General features: G+C 41.1%; 1 protein-coding gene across 8 annotated transcripts in view, besides 3 other annotated features; it reads left to right on the top strand.

Annotated features, from left to right (window-relative positions):
- DDAH1 (dimethylarginine dimethylaminohydrolase 1) overlaps positions 1–17,131 on the top strand; it is a 259,716-nt gene extending 242,585 nt beyond the window's left edge. For all 8 annotated transcript variants that reach the window (XM_005270707.3, NM_001134445.2, XM_011541158.2 and 5 more), the window contains 2 exons: positions 10,733–10,876; positions 14,048–17,131. In XM_005270707.3, the coding sequence (XP_005270764.1) occupies positions 10,733–10,876; positions 14,048–14,164 (261 nt within the window). In that variant the 3' untranslated portion in view covers positions 14,165–17,131. The remainder of the gene's footprint in view (positions 1–10,732; positions 10,877–14,047) is intronic.
- Positions 6,298–6,876: an enhancer, noted in NCBI's record as "NANOG-H3K27ac hESC enhancer chr1:85794423-85795001 (GRCh37/hg19 assembly coordinates)". NCBI's record gives its function as "activates a minimal SCP1, AML or CMV promoter by ChIP-STARR-seq in naive H9 embryonic stem cells {active_cell/tissue: H9 hESC(naive)}" and the evidence as "EXISTENCE:reporter gene assay evidence [ECO:0000049][PMID:30033119]".
- Positions 7,352–7,521: an enhancer, noted in NCBI's record as "experimental_9272 CRE fragment used in MPRA reporter constructs". NCBI's record gives its function as "activates a minimal promoter by MPRAs in K562 erythroleukemia cells, with activity observed for the non-introgressed 1:85793863 variant allele {active_cell/tissue: K562}" and the evidence as "EXISTENCE:reporter gene assay evidence [ECO:0000049][PMID:34662402]".
- Positions 10,285–10,806: an enhancer, noted in NCBI's record as "OCT4-NANOG-H3K4me1 hESC enhancer chr1:85790493-85791014 (GRCh37/hg19 assembly coordinates)". NCBI's record gives its function as "activates a minimal SCP1, AML or CMV promoter by ChIP-STARR-seq in primed H9 embryonic stem cells {active_cell/tissue: H9 hESC(primed)}" and the evidence as "EXISTENCE:reporter gene assay evidence [ECO:0000049][PMID:30033119]".
- Positions 17,132–24,477: the final 7,346 nt, after the last annotated feature.

Below are 24,477 nucleotides of genomic sequence, written 5' to 3'. Positions count from 1 at the left end.
ATATTCTCTTGCTTAATTGATCCATTTATCATTACATAATAACCTTCTTTGTTTCTTTTTACTGTTTTTCATTAAAAATCTGTTTTATCTGATATAAATATATCTACTCCTGCTTGCTTTTGGTTTGTGTGGAATATTTTTTCTGTCCCTTTACTTTCAGCCCATATTTGTCTTTTTATAGGTGAAGTGAGTTTCACTAGGCAGCATATAGTTAGGTCATGGGTTTTAAAAAAATATTTTTTAATAACCTTCATTACTTTGGATAGGTCACAGGTTTTTTAATCCACTCAGCCACTCTATATCTTTAAGTTAAAAATTTAAGCCATTTACATTCAAGGTTATTATTGATATGTGAGGACTTATTCCTGTTATTTAGTGGTTTTCTGGATGTTTTATATATCCTTTGTTCTTTTCTTTCTCTCTTACTGTTTATCATTGTGGTTTGGTGGTTTTCTGTAGTGGTAACATCTGAATGCTTTCTCTTCCTCATTCGTGTGTTTGCTCTTCCAGTAAGTTTTATACTTTTGTGTGTTTTCATGATGGAAGGTATTGTTCTTTCACTTCCAGGCGTAGGACTTCCTCAAGCATTTCTTGGAGGGCTGGTCTCTTGGTGATGAATTCCCTCAGTTTTTGGTTGTTTGGGAAACTCTGAATTTGTCCTTCATTTATGAAGGATAATTTTACTGGATGGATATAGTACCCTTAATTGGCAGTTTTTTTCTTTCAGCACTTTGAATATATCATCCCATTTTCTTCTGGACTGTAAAGTTTCAGATTAGAAATGTGCTGTTAGTCTGATGGAGACTTCTTTGTGTCTAGATGCTATAGTAATCCATTCTCACTTTGCTATAAAGAACTACCTGAGAGTAGGTAGTTTATAAAGAAAAGAGGTTTAATTGACTCACAATTCTGCAGGTTGTACAAGAGGCATGGCTGGGAGGCCTCAGGAAACCTAATCATGGTGGAAGGGTAAGGAAGCACCTTGCTTCACAAGGAGCAAGAGGAAAAGAGAGTGAAGGGGGAAATGCCACACACTTTTAAACCATCAGATCTTGTGAGAAATCACTATCATGAGAACAGTAAGGGGGAAATCTGCCCCCATGACCAATCATCTCCCTCCGGGTCCCTCCCCCAACATTGGGAATTACAATTCAACATGAGATTTGGGTGGGGACACAGAGCCAAACCATATCAGATGTTTTTCTCTTGCTGTTTTTAGAATTATTTGTCTTTGACTTTTTACACTGTATTAGTCCGTTTTCATACTGCTTTAAAGAACTGTCTAAGACTGGGTAATTTATAAAGGAAAGAGGTTTAATTGACTTACAGTCCTGAAAGGCTGGGGAGGCCTCAGGAAACTTAGAATCATGGTGGAAGGCAAAGGGGAAGCAAAGCACCTTCTTCACAAGGCAGCAGGAAGGAGAATGAATGCAGGAGGAACTACCAAACACTTATCAAACCATCAGATCTCATGAGAACTCACTCACTATCATGAGAACAGCATGTGCGGAACCGTCCCCGTGATCCAATTACTTCCCTCTGGTCTCTCCCTAGACACCTGGGGGTTATGGGGATTATAATTCACGATGAGAATTGGGTGGGGACATAAAGACTATATTAGACTGTTTGATTATAATATGCTGGGGAAAAGATTTTTTTGGGGTTGTATCTATTTTGGAATCTTTGAGCTTCCTGTTTCTAAATCTCTTGCTAGACTTAGGGAGTTTTAAGGTATTATTTTGTTAAATTGTTTTTCTATGCCATTAAACTTCTCTCACCCTTTGGAACACCCAAAATTCAAATATTTTGTTGCTTTATGGTGGCCCATAGGTCACATTGGCTTTCTTCTTTCTTGTTTTTTTTTCTTCTTTTTAAAGTTCTGAAATTCTTCTTGATTTAGTATCCTGTTGAAGTTCTCATTGCATTTTTTATTTCATTCATTGAATTCTTCAGTTTCAGGATTTCTCTTTGGTTCTTTTTTATATGTCTATCTCCTTGGTGAATTTCTCATTCATACCCTGAGTTGTTTTTTTAATTTCTTTTTATTGTTTATCTGTGTTCTCTTCTATATCATGGAACTTCCTTAATGTTGTTATTTTGAATTCTTTTTCAGGCACTTCATAAATTTAGTTTTTATTGGAATCTGTCTCTGGAGAATTATTATGTTCCTTTGGAAGTGTCATATTTCCTTGCTTTTTTGTATTTCTGTGTCCTTTCATTGATATCTGTGCATCTGGTGTAACAGTCACTTCCTCCAATTTTTTAGATTGGTTTTCATAGGGGAAGACATTTTCCTGTAGATAGATCTATGGTGTTGGTTGGTTAGGGTACTTTTCTTTTATTCTGGGCATATATGGTGGTGCAGTCTCCATAGGATTTCTTTGGCTATACACCATCAGTGGTGTCTGTGATTTCCTCAGTGGCGTAGGCTGCCGTTGTTAGTAGAGATTATGCTGAGGTTTTCCTGGGGATAGGACGCCAGGTGGGCCAGTCCTCAGGCCCTGCTGTTGGCAGCGGCAGACCAAGCATGCCTGTTCTTGGGTCCCGGGGTGGCATATGTGGGCGCCAGTGTTAGCAAGTCCAGAGGGCTGATTTTGGGGCCTCCAGGCAGCTTTCTTGGGTGCTGGTTATGGCAGCAGTGTGCCAGATGACTGGATGAGTCCTCAGGCTCCCCATGGGCACTCACTGATATTAGCGGTGGCTGCAATGGGCTGGGCAGCCCAGTCCCCAATCCTCCAGGTAGTGCATGCAGAAGATTGCCAGCAGTGGTGGTGGTGGCAGGCTGGGCAGGCCTATTCTCAAGTTCCAGGAGTATTGCCCAGATGCCAGCTGTTGTAGACAAGGTGAGGCAATCCCCCAGCCTCCAGACAGCATGCTTGGGTTTCAGCAGTAGGTTTTCTGGTCCTGTTAGGCCCCCTGATGGCATGCATATGCACCTGGGTCAACCAATGGGGAGGGGCAATCCCTAGGCCCCCAGGCAATGTGCTTGGGCACTGATGGAGGACAGGGGTGGTGCCAGGCCAGGCAGGCCTATTCTCAGGCCCCCCATGGGGCCCATGGGCCCAGGCTGTGGTGAACAAGGCAGAGCAATTTCCAAGCCCCAGACGGTTTGCTCAGGTGGCTATGACAATGGTGGCAGCCTGACCTCAGGACACATGCTAGTGTGAAGCAGCCCTTCTACTGTGGGAACAGGGTTTTATTTCATTGACAGTGGCCCCAGGAAATCAGGTTTCATGCTCTGGGAAACACATGCTTCAGCTCCCTTTGTCCCAGGATCACCCTCCCCAGTGTGCAGTACAATGTGTGGGCTAGAGTTCTGGAGACCCTGCCACTCTACTGTGTCCAACCTGCATTGCACCCTGCAGCCCTCTGTTAGTGGGGCTCCAGGGATGTGAAGATACAGGGGTTGCTGGGTCCCAGGGCACAATGCAGTCTGGTGGGAAATGGGCTTTCTAACTGGCTCTCTATCTGTCCAGAACTAAGTGGGTACATGGGACCCGAGTGGGCTCCATCTCTGGAGCAATGCTGCCACACGGACCCCGGGAATACCAGTTTCAGGGTCCTTGGGGTTTGAGAGACTCTTATGACTAGGATTTCAGCAGTCAACATGGGAACATGTACCACTGGGAATCTCTCACTTACCCTTTCCTCTCACTAGGGACCCTCTCTGGGCTCCCAGCTGATTCCAGCCAGGCTGTCTACCTTGCCTCCCTCTCCTTCAGTATCTCAGGTGTTTTCTGTCACTTCTCTGCTGAATTCCAGCATTCTCTCTTAGATGTCTATTCAAAGTATGATTATCTACTTGCTATTTTGGCTCTTCTTTGCTGGGGAAACAGGTGTCCAGTACCTCTAGTCAGTCATCTTAAAGCCCCTCTCAGGCAGTGTTCATTTTGAACTAGTCTGTGGAAAGACTATAAAACATGAAAATATGCTATCAGTTTTAGAATGTTATCCATAGCTATATTGGCTCAGCCTTAAAAAGACCTCCAGGGCTTGATGCTGGTATGTTGTCAGGCTCTCAATACACTCTTGATGGATGGATAAATAAATAAATGATTTTAGATATGCAGTAGCAATGAAGAGTGTACTTGGGCATCATATATTGTATCAATAGACCATAGTCAGTTGTTTTTAATACTGGTTTAGCTTTGATATGTTAAGATGGGTACATTATGTTATATATATATATATACATATATGAATATAAAGATCAATTATGAGTGACCCAAAAATGTGCTTTGAATATTCCCTAAACATCTCTAACTACCTTTTATATACCTTTGCTTCAGAGTTTGACCAATAAGTTCTAAATTGTTCCATGAAACAACATAGCCCAGGATTTTTTAAAACATAATTACCATTATACAAAGAAAGCATGAGTAAGAAGCAAGAGAATGGAGTGGGCTTTCAGTCGTTTGGATGAGAAAATTCCCAGAAATGTTGGGAACTGCCGGAAATGCCTGGTTGTTAATGCAACTTGCCATGCAGATTCTCTTGGGCTGAAAGCCAGACAGTTCCCACTCTATTTTGTGACAGCTCCACCCTGGGGAACAAGGCCAATTCCTCCAACCAGCAGCTGCATAACAGACCATGACAGTGTGGCCACAATGATTCTCAGAGCTATTTCCTCCCTACAGCTGCGTGCCTTCTTCGTTAAGGAGTTGCCTATGATAAAAGTGAGGTTGACTGTCTTTTTACTGCTAGCATACTCTTCATGTGCTTGTCCTGCCTTAAATGATAGCTTTTCATCTCCTGAAGGCATCTCTTTCCCTTTCCCACCTCACACTGCCATTGTGCTGAGCCCGAAGGGGGCGTACCATAAAAGATTGTTGAACAGAGCTGACCACCAATTGATCTAATCCCCATAATAATCACTCAAATTAGTTTCCATAAAGTGGAATCATTCCTTTGGCAAAATTCAGAAAGGGCATTCGGAACAGCAACTTGACTTCTCAGATCTTTCCCCCAAATCCTGTAGAACTCATTTGTATCATTCAGAGTTGAGTCTGGGGCCTCTCAGGATATCAAGTAATCTGCTCTTAGGGAAAGGAATTTGTGGTGACGTGTGGAGGGTTTAGGTGTGTCTCCTTTCCATTCTGGCTTGAGACACAGTGAGAAGCAGGAAGTACAGTCCCTGGGGTTGGAAAAACACTACATACAGCACTGGAGCAGTACCACCTCCTCCATGCTTTTTTAGGAAAAAATGTTGGAACAGAACTAAACGGCCCAACAGCTGCATTCTCGGGATATTTGAAATGGTGCTCATCTTTTAACAAAGCCTCTGTGCATCCACAAAGGGGAAACAGAACCTGTTCCTTGGCCTCACTGTTGCTCAGTCCTCAGGAGCCTGAGCTCTTTGAGGTGATACCCTACCAGACAGGATGTGTTAACACATCCTCACAGTGCCCATTAGGGTGTAAAAAGGGAAAGATGTTCAAGAGCAACACAGCCTTCCTGCATCTTTCTCTGCATGTTCCCTGCTGAATGGCCAGCACCCTGTCTTGTGTACATACATGTGTCTCCTAAACCCAGCTACAAATAAATGGTAAGCTTATTCAGACAATAACAACATACAAGAGAAAGGAAAATAATTACTCCAACAGGAAAGGAGAAATCTGTTCTTTGCCTCGAAAGACAAAATCTCTTTGTGTTTATAATAAGCACCTTTAGCATTTTCAAGGGGGAAAAGCATATTTCTTGTTTGTTATCTACAGTTACCACTTCATACATCCCTTTTATTTAGAAAGGCTACACCTGACATAACTTTTGTAATTTTTTTCAGTTAAGCAGAACTACTCACTGCTCCAAATGGGGCCTGTTCATTATTAAAAGTCATTTCTTTGGGCATATTCTTAAATCTGTCTTAAAATGATAACCGTGGAGTCTTGATAAATTAATTGAAAAGCTTCTCCTAAGGTAGCTTTGTTGGGGTTTTGTTAAGACATTTATTTTAAGAGTAACTCTCAGTAGAATTTATCAATGAATTACTTCATATATTCTCAGCATTAAATTATTTCCCCACTAAAGATATTATAATTCCTTTCCTCCCAGTAATGAAAAATTGAAACTGTCCTCAAATAATTCTAAAGTAGGTACTGGCCTTTATGTTAGTAAGTATAGGAATGTCCCCACCAGAAGCTTTAAATGATAAAAAATAAGGCTCAGAAAAGGAAGAAGCATTAAAGAATGAAGAGTGATTACAATTTCAAATACATGCCAGTAACTGAAGAACAATTCAAATAGGAACCAAGTAGGGGAGAGGATTGTTCACTCAAGGAGGTGAGGTTGGGGGATAGGGCAGAGCATGGAAACAGCTGAAGTCAACTGGACAGGCCCTGTCACTTCAGTGACACGTGGTACTTTCTGAGATGGGCACAACCTTGGAGATTTTAGTTTGTTTCCTCACTGGTAAACAAGAAGTCAGCACTGATAACAATCCCTGAGAACACTTCCTCTGGAATGTATGACATTCCATGCTTTTGCTTTGTAGTCACCTCCGGACATGCATGAGTCACACTGAGAGGTGGGGAATTTGCCCAGACCGCTAGATCCAGTGAATAAAGTCAGGCCTAAGAGATGTAGTCTTGCCATGTTTCTTTCTCTTTCAATTCATCTGGTACTAAGAGACATGGGTGATTTATTTATCTGTGGGTAAAGAGTACAATGAAGCTTCTGCAGATCACAAATTAAAATGGAAAGCCAACTGGCAGTTATCTGGTGATTATGAGTGGTGGGAGCACTTAGCCTGAATGTGTGGGCCAAAATATGCCACACACAGTTTTCCCAATTGCTTAGAAAAGTAAGTCAATGTGAGTAATAGATTTTCTAGATTTTGTTTTGTTTGTGTCTAGGTTGACCAGGTAGCAGTGGTTGTGTATACATGTTCTAAGGATCTCTCTGAGGTCCTCAAACCACTGGGGTCCTACTTAGTAAACCTCTGGCTCAGAGAACTGCCTCCCCAGTTGTCTGGAAGAAATTCTGAACTTCTTGGGTAAACTAGGTCCAATTCATGTGACAGGATGACCGTCCAGTTCTGACTGCAAACATGAGCAGACTGGCCATCTTGGTCCACCCTCAACAGCACATAATAAACAGAGATTTAGACATAGTGGAATCCCATTCCCTGCACCTGGAAAAAAGCACGTTTGTGAGACTGACCAAAAGCTATTGTCTAGAAGTTTCACAAATCCTAACTGCCACCTTGCATATCGAGGCAGCCCCACTCTACTATGAAGAAGTCAATCTGCCCATTGGGTTTATGGACTATTTTACTAAATTGGGGTCACAACCTGACAGAGGCTTATGTGTTCGGTTTGATATACACAAAAGTTTTTCTTTTCTTTCTTTCTGTGAATGCCCTTAGGTGCCACATACTCTGCAGGTAATTCCAGATCCAACCCCCTGTTGTCTTACTTTGTCATCCAGAGTCATTTGAGTTAGGACCACAGAGTATAGTGCCCTTCTGTATGGCTTTGAAAAACAGACAAACCTTGGCCTTGTTGATTTTAGCCATGTTTTTTCACATTAAAAATAATGAGTTGTATTTCTGTTTCTGGACATAGACCATACCTTGTTTCTCTGAGGGAATTCAATTGTTTACCCATGTGATTGACCACACAGTTCATCACAGTGCCCTCCTGAGGTTCTCTGTAGCGTTTAAAAAGGTGAAAGGAATGAAGAAATGAACCAGTTAGTGCAAACATATTTTGGTCACCTGCTATATGTCAAGTGACTTGCAAGAAACAAAGAGGGAAGTGAACCGACTTTTATTACACATTTAATATCTGCTAGAAGCTTGTGCTAAGCATTTTATGTACATTATCTGTTTTGGGGTTTTTTTTAAATAATCTTCAGAGTTACCCTGTGGAGGATAGGTATAGCATTCCCATCCCATTTTACTGCTGAGGGAATTGAGGCTCACAGGGCATATGTGACTTTCCCAAAGTCACACAATTAGTGTGTGGCTGAGCAAGGCTTCAGACCCAGACCTTTCTGACTCTGAAGCCCATGCTCTGTCCACCTCATTATGCCTGGACCTGCATTCAAGGAGGTAGCAGTCTGGTTGAAGAGAGCAAAACTGCACAAAAACTCATAGTAAAATTTGTCCTTATTCCAAAAACTTTGGGAACTTTGTAGCAATTATCTCTCTAGGGGATCTAGGTAGAAGGGATGCTAAGCCTGCAACACTACTAGATTACATGTTAACGTAGGCCTTAGAAAGAAGGAAGCTGAAGAAGTAATTGTGAGAATATGGTAGGTCTAGTCTTTTATGGTTTTTAAGACTAAGGATTAGACTCCAAGACAGATTATCTGTGGCTCAGGCTGGAGTGCAGTGGCACTATCTCGGCTGGTGGCAACCTCTATGATCTTCCCACCTCAGCCTCCTGAGGAGGTGACTACAGGTGTGTGCCACCACACCCAGCTAATTTTTTTGTAGAGACAGGGTTTCGCCATGTTGCCCAGGCTGGTCTCAAACTCCCGGGCTCAGGCGGTCTTCATTTGTTCCCTTGCACACAATAATAAATGGAAGCTGCTATTATTGTGTTTTGGAAGCAGCCAAAAAGAAAATCTGCATAAGAAGAACTAAATTGCAATTCGTAACAAAAGAGCTACTTGGGTCTGTTTTTTTATTCTCTCAAGCGTCTTCATATTATTTCTGGGCATATCCATTTTATAAAGAGGGCTAAATTGAATATGTTGTTAATTTTCTTAGAAAAGTTAATCTTTAGGAGTGTCTTTAACTTCTTAATTGCCCACATGTTGGATTAGATCTAAGGTTTCTAATCAGGGCTGTAAAGAAAGACCCACTCCATAGGTGAGCCCCTCTATGGGCCTATCCCTTCAAGAACAATTTAAATTCAAAAGTGCAAGAGAGATGTCCAGTTAAGTCCTTTACCTATACCAGACGGTAGCAGGTCATAACAGGATTACATACAAGAAAAGAATTAATGGTACTGCCAGAGAATGAATAATAAGTATCAAGTGAATGTGAAAAAGTAGGTGTTATGTAGTTTGTAGGAGGTAGTTTCCTGCTGCAGAAGTTGAGAAAGAGCAAAGTGAGATGATTAAGAAACGTTTTGAGTTGCACAGATCTGGGTTTGAATCTACCTATGTGACCTAAAGCAAGTTATTTGACCTCTCTCAGTGCAGTTTCTTCATCTGTAAAATAGAAGTTTGAGATTAGATAATAAATGTAAAATGTTTGGCATGGTGCCCTGCTAGTTCTTATTGTAATATAATTATCTATTTTTCTGTCAGTTTCCTCCACTAAACTGTAATCTTGGAAAACTGGGTCTGTGACCTGTTCATCTGTATGTCTCAGCCTTTCATACAGTGCATAAGCTCATCCCCATTCCTGATGTTTCATTCCATGTGAAGGGTATTCCATTATGGGATTGCTCTTGGCCTCTCTCCACCCTTGACATATTCCACACTAGAAGTGAATGATTTACCTGACTGGTGAGTCAGGAAGGGCTTACTATGTGCCACTCTTAGGAATGAATTTTCTACAGGAAGCATGCTGTCTCTCTTCTGCTTTTCATACCATAAATCTTACTATCCAGTGCCCCCATGACTGAGTGGGCATGTCTGCCTAGTAATATGAAGCACATTTCCATACAAACACTGAAAAGTAAAAGTAAATGGGACCATAAAGGTAGATTAGAACCAGATTGTGGAAAAGATCATGTTATACCTTCCTAGCATGATATTTCAGCAGATTCCTTAAAACTGTATGGATATTGATAAAGAGTAGAAAGAGTCTACATGACTAAACCCCAAATAATATTTGTTTTTGTGGGTTTTTAATTTGGATATTCTTGTTGTTAGGGGGAGGAGTGTTGTTTTTTGATAGTTTTGATTATGTTGAGGAGGTAAGGATGAGGTATCAATATTTTAAATTTTGTGCAGAGTTCATTTTTGTGTTGTTTTTAAAGTTATTTTATGCTAGGATACTAATAAGTTCATCATTTGAAGAACAGACCTGCCAAGTAGGTTTTTTTTTTTTTCTCTCCAGTTGTGGTCCAGGGAACCTCTGCCTCAAAATTATCTGTAGGGCTTCAAAATGCAAAATTCCTATGCCTCACCCAAAATCTGCCAAACCAGCTTTCCCTAAGGGTGAGGCCTGGGAATATGATTTTCTTATTCTCCCCAGGTGGCTTTTATGCTCATTGTATTAAGGCCATCACCTGCCAATGAACAGGTGAATTCAGTTTAAAAGTATGTGGAAGAGCAAAGCGTGTGTGTGTGCGCGCGCGCGCGCACGCACGTGCATGCACACACGTGTGGTGTTACTGATTAATCAGATTCACATTATTGACTATTCTGATTACTGGTATGGCCCTTCTTTCCTATAGAGGAGGCAGCCCTGCTTACTCAGCCAAAGATATCAAAACCCCTGCTGGGCCTTACATGTGGCCATTTTGCATCTTACTGATAAGTCTTACGAACAAAGACTAGAAAAATAATAGACGGTTTTAAAACCTTAAAAGAAAAGAGAGACAAACACATACTTTTAAAGAGCAACAAAAACCCTTGCAATTCTTCCAAAGACTCATAGCTTAATCAAGTTTTCCTTTTCTGGTTCTAAGTGACTGGAGGTAATAGATGGGAATTTGAACAGAGGAACAGCCTAAAGTGTCAGTTCCAAGCTTGTATCCTACCACACTGCCTTCCTTCTGTTTGAAAGTGTGGGGAGTTACTCTTCTTAGGCCTGCTTTGTTTCTCTTTATAGATCATGCAACAGATGAGTGACCACCGCTACGACAAACTCACTGTGCCTGATGACATAGCAGCAAACTGTATATATCTAAATATCCCCAACAAAGGGCACGTCTTGCTGCACCGAACCCCGGAAGAGTATCCAGAAAGTGCAAAGGTAAAAAAATATCCCTTCTGACCACTGCAGCTGGGTCAGCCTCCCTGGGGATTTTTTCATAAAGGAGTGACCAATAGGAGCCTCCTTTTCCTGTATACATATCAAACAATTAAGAAAAGAAAGGATAATACAATTTAGGGCACAAGGAAAATGTGTTTCACTTTTCTCATTCATGTCATTGCTCACTAATGCATGCATAGTAATTGAGATGATCATGCCGGGTATTCAAGGCTTTTCAAATAAATACTCAGATTTTCAAATAAGTAGTCACCCAAGTCTATGCCCCAGCTCTGATTAAATGTACTTTCCCACCCTCAGATACTCATTAAGCATAAAGACCTACAATTAGATGGTCAACGGTATCGCTGTTTTCTGACAGATCTGAGCTGTCCCTCAGAAAAGGGCAGCTTTTCTTTTTATTTCTTTTTATTTTTTTATTTATTATTATTATTATTATTATTATTATTTTTGAGACAGGGTCTCACTCTGTTACCCAGGCTGGAGTGCTGCGGCACGATCTTGGCTCACTGCAACCCCACCTCCCGGGCTCAAGAGATCCTCCCACCTCAGCCTCCTGAGTAGCTGGGACTACATGCATATACCACCACAACCTGGCTAATTTTTGTATTTTTAATAGAGATGGGGTTTCATTATATTGCCCAGGCCGGTATCAAATTCGTGAGCTCAAGCAGTCTGCCCGCCTGGGCCTCCTAAAGTGCTGGAATGACAGGCATGAGCCACCATGCCCAGTCCTTTTTTTTTTTTTTTTTTGAGACAGGATCTTGCTCTGTTGCCAAGTCTGGAGTGCAGTGGCATAATCATGTCTCACTGCAGCCTCAAATTCCTGGGCTGAGCAATCCTCCTACCTCAGCCTCCCGAGTAGCTGGGACTACAAGCATGCACCATTATACCTGGCTAATTTTTTATTTTTTGTAGAGACGGGGTCTCCTTATGTTGCCCAAGCTAGTCTCAAACTCCTGGGCTTAAAGGATCCTCCCACTTCAGCCTCCCAAAGTGCACAGGCATGAGCCACCACACCTGGCCATTTGTTTCTTTAGGTAGAGGAGTATGAATGACCCAGAGTGGTGGGTGTTCATTGTCAGGGCTGCAGAAAGAAGAAACTGCCCGTGCTAGGTAGCAAAAAGCTCTTCATTGAAAAGATAGAGCAGGTAGTAATATGGTACACTCGAAATCAGCCAACTGGTCGCTCCAGGAGTCTCTGTGTTTGTGTTCCAATAAGGGAGCTCTCTCTGGATCTGGAATGCTTTTCCTGGTCTAAGAAAATCTCCCTTGTTTTTCAGCATACTCTGCCAGTCTCATCTATATACTTTAGTAATTTCGATTTTACCCTACCAAGCAAACATAACAGTGCTCGTCCATAGATTCTTCAAGTGTCCATATCTTCTAGGCACTCAGCATCTCATCTCTGCCCGGAGGAACAAGATATTTATACTATGCATTACAGAAGAGCCTTTAGTAATCATTGATCTTTTTTTTTTGTCTTAAGCTTCGCAAATATTAGAAAATATTTTATACTACCTTTTAAATATGCAATATGATATAATTACTAGGTTCACTCTCTAATCACAGCCTCTTTCTGAGCAGATAAAAAGAAAAAGGTGAGGGAATACATAGATAATTTTTTCTATTTCCATGGCTGAAAGTGTGAACCTGAGGAAAATAGAGTACTCCTGACCCAGAACTGGGGCTTACCCAGCTCTTAGATGAGTAATGGATCTCATACTTTAATGCACATCAGGGTTGCTAAAAATGCAAGTTCCTGGACCCCCACCCTAGAATCTGCAATATCAACAAGCACCCAGTCACAGAACTCACTTTGAGAAATACAGGTCTGAATCATTCATCCCTCTTTAGCCACATTGATCATCTGACCTACCAGATGATTATTCACTGCCCCCCTGATTCAGCCGTTTGTCTCTCAAAAATAACAATAGTATTAATAATATCCCTGTTTACTGAGGGCTTCCCCGGTGCCAGGCAGGGTGCCAGGCATCCCAGGTGTATTATCTTATTCAGTCCTTGTAACAGCCCTATGGGGGCAACATTACTATTCCAATATTACAGAGAAGTAAACCGAGGCTCAGAGGGAATGTCACTTCACTGAAATAATTCTTTAAGTAGTAGGTTGACAGAACTGGGTTTGGGACCCTACTCTGGCTCCAACACTCTTAATTAACCACTGTGCTGAATTTTAAGAAACGCAGTGCTTCCTAAAGAAGCACAGGAGATTGTTATTAGGCAGTACACTTTCAAGTGATTCTGTTTTTAAAAATATGCTTTGTTTGATCATCACAGAACAATCTATGAACTGTTAATTGAAGTTTTGACATATGCTTTCTATTAGTGTCAAAAGATGCTAATAAAATTCATACCTGTAATTTAAAAGCAGTTTAACCTGAAATACTTAAGTTATATCTTGTCAAATTTTTCCAGCAGTGTTGGTAAGAAAATAAACCTAAAGTATAGTTGAGAGGGTTTTAAACTGTGAAGAGAAGGCCTAGTGTGGTGGCTTATGCCTGTTTAATACCAGCACTTTGGAAGGCCAAGGCAGGATGATCACTTGAGCCCAGGAACCCAAGACCAGCCCTGGCAAAATAGTGAGACCCTGTCTCCACAGAAAATAAAAAATAAAAATTAGCCAGGGATAGTGGTGTGTATCTGTTGTTTGTCCCAGGTACTTAGGAGGCTGAGGTGGGAGGATCACTTGAGCCTGGGAAGTTGAGGCTGCAGTGAGCCATGGTCGCGCCACTGTACACCAACCTGGACGACAGAGCAAGACCCTGTCTCCAAAAATATATAAATAAATAAAAATAAAGTGTGAAGAGAAAGTAATATTCAGACTGACACATGGTCACCAACTTCCATGTACCACTTAATCTAGCAATGACAATGGCAGAGTAAAGGCATCTCTAGCAAAACCACATTTCTGACACATCTTTGGCCTTGAGGTTAAAGCACAGGGCTAGTGGTTAACCAGTTCCCACCAGCTCTATAGGGATGACTGTGGGCATGTGTGTGGTTGAGACTGCCTGTGTGTCTTGGGATTAAATGAATGAAAAGCCTAGATGTACAAATCAAATTGATTCTCCACTTCTGAGGATGGTAAAACATAATCCTTCTTTTCTTCCTTTTCCTTGATTCCCACTGTAGGTTTATGAGAAACTGAAGGACCATATGCTGATCCCCGTGAGCATGTCTGAACTGGAAAAGGTGGATGGGCTGCTCACCTGCTGCTCAGTTTTAATTAACAAGAAAGTAGACTCCTGAGCTGCAGAGTCCCCCCCGGTAGCCGGCAAGACCGCACAGGCAAGGCCGATGACTCTGTGCCCACTCCTGTTGTTTTCCTTGACAATCTACTGTGCCACTGTGCTACTAACTCTTGTTTACAAAATTTGATTCTAAGTTGAATTGCTTCATTCAACACCCCCACCCTCCCTCCCCTCGAGGTGGTACCTAAGCTGTGGATTTGCTAAATGAATTAAGCAACCTAGAAGATACAGAGCTAATGAATTATCAAAATGTGATTAATCCCAGTAAGGAAACACTCATTTAGTGTCTGTATTTTTGGTGTGAAAATTATTTAGTTGCCAGTATATTCTGAAGAATGTCTTCTTGATCAGTCAGATAAGCTTGCTTTTTTTTTTTTTTTTTTTCATGAATCATGTTTGGTTCCTGTGAAAGTCCCTGGTCCAGGGATCCTCCTCCTTTCTCTTTTACTTCTGAATTCTGAAATTCAGTTAGTTACTTTTGCCTTTCGCTCTTCTATCACAGCCACCTTGACCTTGGGTAAAACCCAAGGTCTTTCCTTCTGGCTACCTTCCTGCAGGTCCACCCTGTCTGCCATTGGTCTCCTCTGCCTCTGACTACATCTGCCACCAACAACCCTCCCCTCACCCCTGCCAGGGGCAGACAGGCTTCTCAGCAGAACTGTGACTGAAATCAGAGCTGCTGTCTGGGGCAGTGTTAACTACACAGAGGCACATCCTGACAGGGTTTGCCCCAGAGATCTAAATTCCAGAAGGAGGGCACCACACCTAGGAAGGTAAATCCAGTATCAGAAGGTTGCTAAAAGATTAAAGATCAAGAAGCTTGGAAACATCCCATGGGTACAATGTCTTAGAAAGTCTTTAAGTCACATACCATGAATTTTTGCTTCATTACTGACCATATATGACCTTGGAGGAACTCTTTTTTTTTTTTCCTTCTACTCATTTCTGTTTCCACCTACCCTGACTCACCGTATTTCCAGTCTTCTACCCCTGCAGTTATCCTAGTCCAGCAAAGTCATTTCTTTCAAAAGAGACATCATGTCTGAAAATAATTACTGGTAGTCTAATATGAGCCAGAGTAAACAGCTCCTCATGGTCAATGAACATGTTCAGGAAGCGATCACCTTGATGCTTGAACCCAACCCCAGACAGTGGACAATTCTACTTTGAAATATCCGTGAATATTTACTGTGGGATCCAATTTAAACTTCTTTCTTCTCTAGCCTTTAAATTACACAACTTTGAACTGACACGGATCTCTTACAAAGAACAATGCGGCACTGAAGGAAGAGATGATTCCTTTACTCAAACCTGCAGGAATCAGCCTATTAACAGGCAGGGGAAACGGTACTTTCCAATGAATGGTAACTGATCCAGGCACATTATCACACTTCCTAGTCATCTCCACCTTTCCTGTATTGCCTGTGGCTTGTTGTTTAAGATTAAGAATCAAAGAGATTAAGAAGTATCACTTCAAATCTTGCTCTGCTCACTTCTATGTTTGCAGTCAAATTATTCCTTATGTTGGTGACCTAAAGAGAATTACTTTCATTCATTTCATTTCCCCCGTAGCAGATGGAAGGAGAAACCTCTGAGAAAATGAAAACATCCTTAACCACTATCTTTCCCTTTTATTTGATTATTTTATGTCAGAAATTTGCAAAAGTTTTTTTCTCCTCCTTCTCTTCCTTGTTGCTTAACTTTTTAATTCATGCCATATGCAGATATCCAATTATGTGCATCCTGTGAATAAACCACGTCTTGGTCACTGTCATATTTTGAACCATCTCATCAGAGATGAATAATATCTTTTTACCAGAGAGAGAACGAATGTTAGCCACATGCCCAAGTTAACAAAGAAAAAATGTTCTCAAGGTTGTCCTTTTGGGTTAAATCTGGCCCTTCCTTGGCAAAAGCAAAAATTCTCCCTGTGAGAGCTCAACATCTCAAATACAACCACAGGAAAAATGGCCCAATCTGCCAGTTTAGGCTTACCAGCATATAATTTTTAATATCTTTACTTCTATCATCCCAAATCAAAGAACTCTTCTCTATTATGTTTAATCAATTGCAAGCAAATAGATTTTTCTTTGTAACAATTTGTTCTGCAGAAGGCTGTTTTTCACTTTTCCTTTCTTTTGCTTCTTTCTGTCTTTCCTTCTCTTTTGTCTGGAGAAATCACTTAGACTCTGTGTGCCTCTTCTACATTGCATTCTGCTCTGCTATGTTACCTGCTAGGCTGGCTTCTTTGGACTCCCTATATGATTGATGATGTGAAAACCTAAATTACTTGCAGCATAGTATTACTTCTTTGATGTTCTCATTAGCATAATGTTATTTTTGAAAAGGAAAGATACTATCACATAAGTTTTCCTCATCTGTTGTGATATACACCAATGGATAAACTAACGGAAACTGCTTTTTGACATTAAAAGACAGGAGAAATTATATTTAACTAAGTAAAAGTTAAGTCAGAATTACTTGGGTGATGTGATTCAATTTAGTTAAAGGATGATATAGAGAAAATACATTATTTAGCATTATTTCTTCAGCTATAATGAATTGCTATAGAAATCAGGCAGATCTTTCTAATGTGTATTGATTGGTCTTTTCAGCTACTCTGAACAGATTACTAAGGCCATCTCCTCATCTCTAAGGGAGAAAAATAGTCTGTAGATGAATAATGTAAGGTAAAGAGTTGCATGTCAGTCTTTGTAATTATTTACACTTTAACTTTCTCCAGAACTCAGACATGATTTCAACATGGTGTTAGATTTGTGCATTTTATTTTCCTGACCACCTCATTCCAGCCAATGTATGGTTATCCACTCTGTGTGCCAAAACCAATCATGCCTTTCACGGCCCTTTAGTTCAGAGAAGTTCTGCACTGATTTTTAGTCTCTTGATGTCTCAATCTTACATGTATACCAATCACAATGGAATAAAGTGTTGAGTTGTACTGTGATCAACAGTGTATGTCTCTTTTCTTTGCAACAGAAACTGCCATGGGGAATGAAGTCATCATTTCTTTGCTGTCAGTCATGGGATATTTTCTCTCTTGTCCCTTAGGCTATGAACTTAGAAAAATACCATACCTGTAAATCAATTGCCATCAAAGCTTGGGTTAAAATAATATTTGAAGTGATACTTCATACTTCAGGCACTTAAAAAGTGTGCATAGTATGTACACCAGGTCAGGAGAGCTTGAGTTCCCCTGTGCCTCTCCTCAAAACGGCGTCCCTTCATCCCTTTCACTGTTAACCATATTCAGCACATAGTCAGTTATGTGGTTCAGTTATGGAGGCAGGTAAATGATTTTTTTATTTGCTCATTCATACAAGAGTTTGTTTTTGTTATATAGTAAGCATCTTTTAGCAAATTTGAAGGTTTTTTTAAATGAGGCTTTTTTCAACAAGTTTTTTCAATCTGTATTGTTTTCTTTCAATGATTGTAAAAATAACTGCTTACTGTTAAAATCCAAGCAACACAAAAAACTAAGTAAATTTAAAAACTACCCCACAATTTTATCACCCAGAGATAACTATTATTAACATTTCAGAGAATAATCACAGATCTGTAAATAGATAGCAGTATAAATATGCAATAATTTTACATAATCATGCTGTTCTGTAGTCTGCTTCCTTCGACTTAGCAATATTGTTGGCCGCTTTCCATCTCAACAAATGTAGATCTACATCATCAGTTTTAACAGCCCTGAATATTCTACAACACGGTTATTCAAGCAGCTCGTTCTAAATTATACATAGTGTTATGTCACAGATAGTCAATATGCCCACATTGCTATTAGCCAGGGGTCTTCAGTCTATCAAAAATGCACCGCTTCTAAGCTTTCACCCAGCCCCAGAGCTAGTTCATGTGGCATATTTTTATCATAACTGAATGAGCTGTGTGAATGCTCATCAGATGCAAAGACCAGTTCTAAAATTCCTTGGGGATGTCATTGATTTAATCACACCTTCTCAGTTGGTGTTGCATTGATTATCTCTGCATTATTTAGATTGTCACTGGCAATGATGCTAAAAAATGCCAAATGCCACCTTGCAAACCTACTGTGGGTCCCAGTCGGAAATGGAGCCCTCCACCTCAGTGCCAGATATACTGCTCCTCCAGAGGAGAAAGGGAGATACTTCTTAAAGGAAGAGTTGGCAGGGGTTCCCTGACTGACCTTCCTCCCCACCTCTGAAAGAATAAGGGGAGAGGAAACAGAAAAATACCCTCCGTAGCAAGCTATAGATTCTGGAAGTGGGAATTCTGCTCACTGAAGAATGCTGGTCATCAACGATTTTAGACGAGTGAGCACGTGTTTAACAAGTGCCCGTACTCTGCCAGGCTCTGGAGTACAGCTCCGATCTTTCCAGAACTGATGGTTTGGGAGAGGCAGGGAAGGACGACTACACAATTACACAAATGATTATGATACAGCAGAATGTACGAACTACAAAAGAACAATGCCGTGTCTGTTCCCAAGTCAGGGAGACCAGACATAGGAATTGGGGTTTAATCTGGGCTTGGAAGGACAGCTCTGGCTTCAATAGGTTGAGATGGGACTACAGGTTGTCTAGGCTGAGGGAGCCGCAGAAGCAAAGGCATGGAGGTGGGAGAGCATCGTGTTCACTTCAGAAGCAAGTATTTGAGCCCCTGTTACATGCCAGTTAACTTTGCTAGGCCCTGAGGATACAGTGGTGACAGTCCCTACCCTCCTGGAATGTACATGCAACAGGGAAGACTGACATTGAACAAGTTAGGGCAAGGGGAATGAACATTATTAAAGGAGAATGGGGTGCTTAGAGCAGACCATAGGGTCAAGCAAGCGGATTTATTTGGCTGAAACACAGGGTAAGTGTAAGAGCATGGTGAGACAACATTGGTTGGAACATTGAGGGCCTTGCCTGCTGAGTTAGGATATTTGGACTGAAATTGGCAGTCTGCCAGGATCCCCTGAAGACTTTTCAGTCAAGAAGTGATATTATTGGAGCTTGATCTGGCAGCATTATATAGGATGACTGGGAACTGAGAAAGACTGGTGTTTCGCCAAGCTTAATTTCTCCAAGTTTAATTTGTTATTTAAATATCTCTTCTTACCACCAAAATGGAGCCTGAAAGCCTGGCAATTAAGTCTCTTTATATTTTCTTTCCTGAAGAACAGATTAATAACACCTTCCCCTCCCAACTCCGAAGGGACATTTTCAAGGCAAATGCGATAAAAGAACTGAAGGGTTCTTTGGATGAAAGAGATAATGTAAATATCATTATCATCATCATTATACTTATTAACTCCGATCACAGCAAGCTTAGATCCCATTAAAATGTCATCTTCTATTTGAAACGTCAATCACCTACTCCAGAAATAACTCGGGATTTTCATCACGGATGCCTCTAAGCTGGCCTGACGGCTTCCGTGGTGAATTCACAGGTTTCCCTGGTAGCTGACATGGCTGTGCCACAGACATACTTGCATTAGGAAACTGTTGGCTAATCGGAATGTTCCCTGTCTCCCTTCCCCCTCCAAACCCTCATTTCTAAGTTAGTGAAAGCTAGGCCACTTATAGCACAAGATAACTGGGGTTATCAGGCTTTTAGGAGGACGGGTAAGTGCCAAATATATTACTGTCACTATAAATAAATAAAAGATTCAAACAAGTATGAACTTGGTAAAATATTGCCTGAGCTGGCGTGTGACATGAATGCCTAAAAGCAATGATGGGTCTCTAGGTCTTGGGAGGCCCCCTCTATTTATAAATGGAAAGTTTAGTCATTTTGGCTATGAATACTGAGAAAGAGCTTGAGTGAATTAACACAGGCCTAAGGAGGTAGCTTGCTGCCCCAACTTTATTGAAGTCTAATTGACAAATAAAAATGGTATATATTTAAGGTGTACAACTTGATGCTTAGAAAGACATTGTGAAATAATCACAGTCAAGTCAATTAACATAGCCTTCACCTAACAGAGTTATCACTTTCTTTTTTTTTCTTTTTTTTTGGTGATAAATATTTAAAATCTTTCCTTTTAGCAAATTTCAAGTATGTAATAGAATATTGTTAACTATAATCACATTGCAATACATTTGATCTCCAGCATTTTTCTATCTTGAAAACTGAAACTTTCTGCCCTTTGGCATCTCCCCATTTCTCACTTTAAAAGCACTTTAAAAGCAGGAACTTTAAATTCCTGCTCATGGACAAGAAAGCTTATTTATTAGCTAAGGCTTTGAGGTAAGAACTCAGAGGATGACCATTCAAAATTAAACTAGGACCCTATATGCTATAGGTTGAATGTGCCTCTATCCCACCAGGGTACAAAGACTGCATATTTCACATTGATGGAGGAAAAGCTCAGGAACCAAACAAGTTCTGATTTCAAGCAACAGTCTAGCTGTGTAAAAGGAGCTAGTGGAATAAATACTGATTCACAGGGCCACAGAGGCTTAAAATTCCAGGGAAGGATGTGAGCAAAGTCATCATTTTGTTTACAGGGGACCCAGATGAGGGTATGAGGTCCCCTAGAGTTAATGCTAAGACAGTAACATGGGGTTTGCTTCTTTCCAGGCTTGATAATAATTGGGAGAGACAGAAGGAATGTTGTTAGCAGGGCAAGATATAATAGTATCAAGGAGTCTGTTAGGAAATATAATTCATTCCCACTTGGTTCAAATAAAGAGATGACCTTAATGAAGGTCTGTTTCAGAAGTATGGGTGTTAAGGGTAAAAACAAGGGGTGGTAAGACACCCGGAAAACAGATGTCAGCAGCACTCCTAGGCCCAGCAGGACAAGGACAGAAAATTGTGCTGCAAAATATAAGACAGAGAAGGCAGGGCCACAGACCCAGCCAGAGAGCAGAGAAGAAGTACCTTAACCTCTTTCTCTCCTAACTCTGATCTGCTGGTGCTCCCCATTGGCTGAACACAACCACAAGATGCAGTTGGGGGCTCAGGGGATGCCTCCAGCCTAGGAGGTCAGCGTTCTAGGGCAGAGAACTGGCAGAGAAGGGCAGAGGATGGATCTGGAGAGTCAGAGGATATCAGCACAAGGCCACTGTGAAAATGAGCTCTTAGCCTATCAGACAGTGGTCATAACCAACTCTGTAAATTTACAAGTCTCTGTAAATTTAAATAATTTATTATTTCAGTTATCATTTAATAACTCTTGGCAGATTCCTTAGGCACATGCCAGTTCTGTGGTCTGGTCCTCCCTCCCTCAACATCAGAAAATAATTGGAGCAGAATCAACACCAGAACATGAGTATGCACGGCCTGAGGGTGGAAGAACGTTGCATTCCAGACCCATGAGTCCTGGACCTCTTTAGTAAGCACTGTGTTATTTCTAAAATTAGAGCAGTCTCTTGGGCACCTGGTATCCCAAAACAGCTAGTTGCCTTTTTGTAGCATGCCCATGACCTTCTGGTAACATAAAGTTGTTTAGGATCCTGAAGTACCTCTTTTCTGTTTCCTTTTGTTTGTACATCCTGCTCATCTTGGCAGGCACAGCTGTTTTGGTTTTACTTGGTCATATTGCTTATGGGGATAATAGTCAGTCTAAACTAATAGTAGTGAATTCCCCTTTCCTGGGGTGTTCAAGTAGCATTTGAAGGACCATGTGCAGGAGTGGTCCTTCTATCCACTAACATCTGATATACTTAACATCCATACCAAGGTATTCCTTTCCCACCCTGGAATCTTTTAGTAGGCCTTTGTACTATATTCTGATTCTGGGTGACTTTCGTTTCCCCTCTACTACCCCTAGTCTCCCAAATAGATGAACATTGCCCTCATCTAGTGTTTTAGTTCATTTTCTGTGGCTTATAACAGAATACCACACACTGGGTAAATGATAAACAATAGAAGTTTATTTGGCTCATGATTCTGGATCTGGGAAGTCCTAGAGCATGGTACCAGCATCTAACAAGGTTCATCCCATGGTGGAAGGCGGAAGCAAGTGCACAAGACAGAGGCACTAGGGATCAGGCTTACCTTATAACTACCCATTCCCATGATAACTAACCCACTCCCATGACAATGACATTAATGCATTTGTGAAGGCACCACCCTCATGACCCAATCACTTCTTCTTAGGCCTCACTTCCAAACACTGTTGTTTTAATGATTAAGTTTCCAATGCTTAAACCTTTGGGGAACACATTCAAATCACAGCATCTACTAAATGACAGTAGTAAGGGTTACAGCTTCAATATGGTAGCATGAAGAGGTCTATGGATTCACTCCCAAGTGAAACTGGCAATTCCTCAAGGATCTAGAACTAGAAATACCATTTGACCCAGCCATCCCATTACTGGGTATATACCCAAAGAATTATAAATCATTCTACTATAAAGACACATGCACACATATGCTTATCGCGGCACTATTCACAATAGCAAAGACTTGGAACCAACCCAAATGCCCATCAATGATAGACTAGATAAAGAAAATGTGGCACATACACACCATGGAATACTATGTGGCCATAAAACAGGATGAATTCATGTCCTTTGCAGGGACATGGATGAAGCTGGAAACCATCATTCTCAACAAACTAACACAAAAACAGAAAACCAAACACCACATGTTCTCACACATAAGTGGAAGTTGAACAATGAAAACACATGGACACAGGGAGGGGAACATCACATACCAGGGCCTGTTGGGTCGGGGGGTGGGGGAAGGACAGCATTAGGAGAAAGACCCAATGTAGATGACAGGTTGATGGGTGCAGCAAACCACCATGGCACACGTATACCTATGTAACAAACCTGCACATTCTGCACATGTACCCCAGAACTTAAAGTATAATAATAAAAATAAATAAATATTTAAAGTCTCTGGAAATGGTCATAAATGTACATAGCAAATGAAGAAACATTTATTCAAGAAAATCTATTAAAACTTGGTAAGATCAGTGAATCAGTGATTTTGACCCAAGACCCACACCCTTCCTCCCCGCTCACAGCTCAGTGAGGCAGAAGCTCCACACCTTAGGGTAGAGCTAAGAACACAAGGCTCCTTTTCTCCACAGATCCTAATTGAAAGTCAGTCTTCCTGGGGAGAGACAGGATGTCAGCATTGCTTATCCTGCCATTCCCACTCATGACCTAATGCTGAGACTAAGTTCTGGGTGAGTGTTGCCAGGAGGGTCTCTTTTCTTCCTCCAAGCCCGAACTCTCAGGGGACAGAGGCTCCACTCTGAGAGCATGGTACCAATATGATACAGGGAGCCTGAATGTCCTTGCCTTGGCTCATGGGGCAGGAGTTCTAACCCAGAGAAGCAAACCAAAAAGACCTGAGTCTGTTGCCTCCTCTCTACCTGGCACTGAGAAACAAAAACAAGGTTGTCATTCAGAGAGAAGTGAACCATATTTTCCCTGCCCTCAATCCCGCAGAGGATGGCTCAGAGATTTTCCCCAGGGGCACAATCAGGCCGTGGAAGGAAGAGCTCTGAATCCCTCCCTAGAGAACTGACTTCATTTGCAACAGAGTGTGAAGTTCAAGTCTAAGTGTGCTCTCAAAAACAGTTGTGGTTGTGGTGAAAGGCAATAGAGAGGAAATTGGTAGATTCCTTGGAGGTAAAGGCTAAATTGTAGGCATCCAGATCAGAGAGGAAGAGGTAAAACTATCTCTATTTAACATGCTTGTCTATATGGAAAATCCTAAGAAATCCACTAAAAATATATTAAAATTAATAAATGAGGCTGGGCACGGTGGCTCACGCCTATAATCCCAGCACTTTGGGAGGCCGAGGTGAGCGGATCATCTGAGCTCAGGTTTCGAGACCAGCCTGGGCAACATAGTGAAACCCCATCTCTACTAAAAATACAAAAAATTAGCCTGGCATGATGGCGCACGCCTGTGGTCCAAGCTATTTGGGGGGCTGAGGTGGGAGGATGGCTTCAGCCCAAGAGGCAGAGGTTGCAGTGAGCCGAGATCACACCACTGCACTCCAATCTGGGTGACAGAGTGAGACCTCATCTCAAAAAAAAAAAAAAAGAATTCAGCAAGATTTTAAGATAAAAGATCAATATATTAAAAATTGTGTTTCTACACATTTGCAGTGAACAAATCCAAAAATAAGATTAAGAAAACAATTCCATTTATAATTGCATCCGAAAGAATAAAACACTTAGCAATAAATTTAGTAAAAGTCCAAAACTTATTCTCCGATAATTACAAAACATTGTTGAAAGAAGTTAAATATCTAAATAGATGGAAAAACTGCTTATGTTCATGTATTAGAAGACTTAATATTGTTAGGATGACAACACTCCTCAAGTTGATAAACCGATTAAATGCAAGCCCAAT

Source organism: Homo sapiens, chromosome 1 (assembly GCF_000001405.40).
Source record: "Homo sapiens chromosome 1, GRCh38.p14 Primary Assembly".
NCBI lineage: Eukaryota > Metazoa > Chordata > Mammalia > Primates > Hominidae > Homo > Homo sapiens.
The sequence above is the reverse complement of the archived record's forward strand: the minus strand, read 5'-3'. Positions and strand labels throughout refer to the sequence as shown.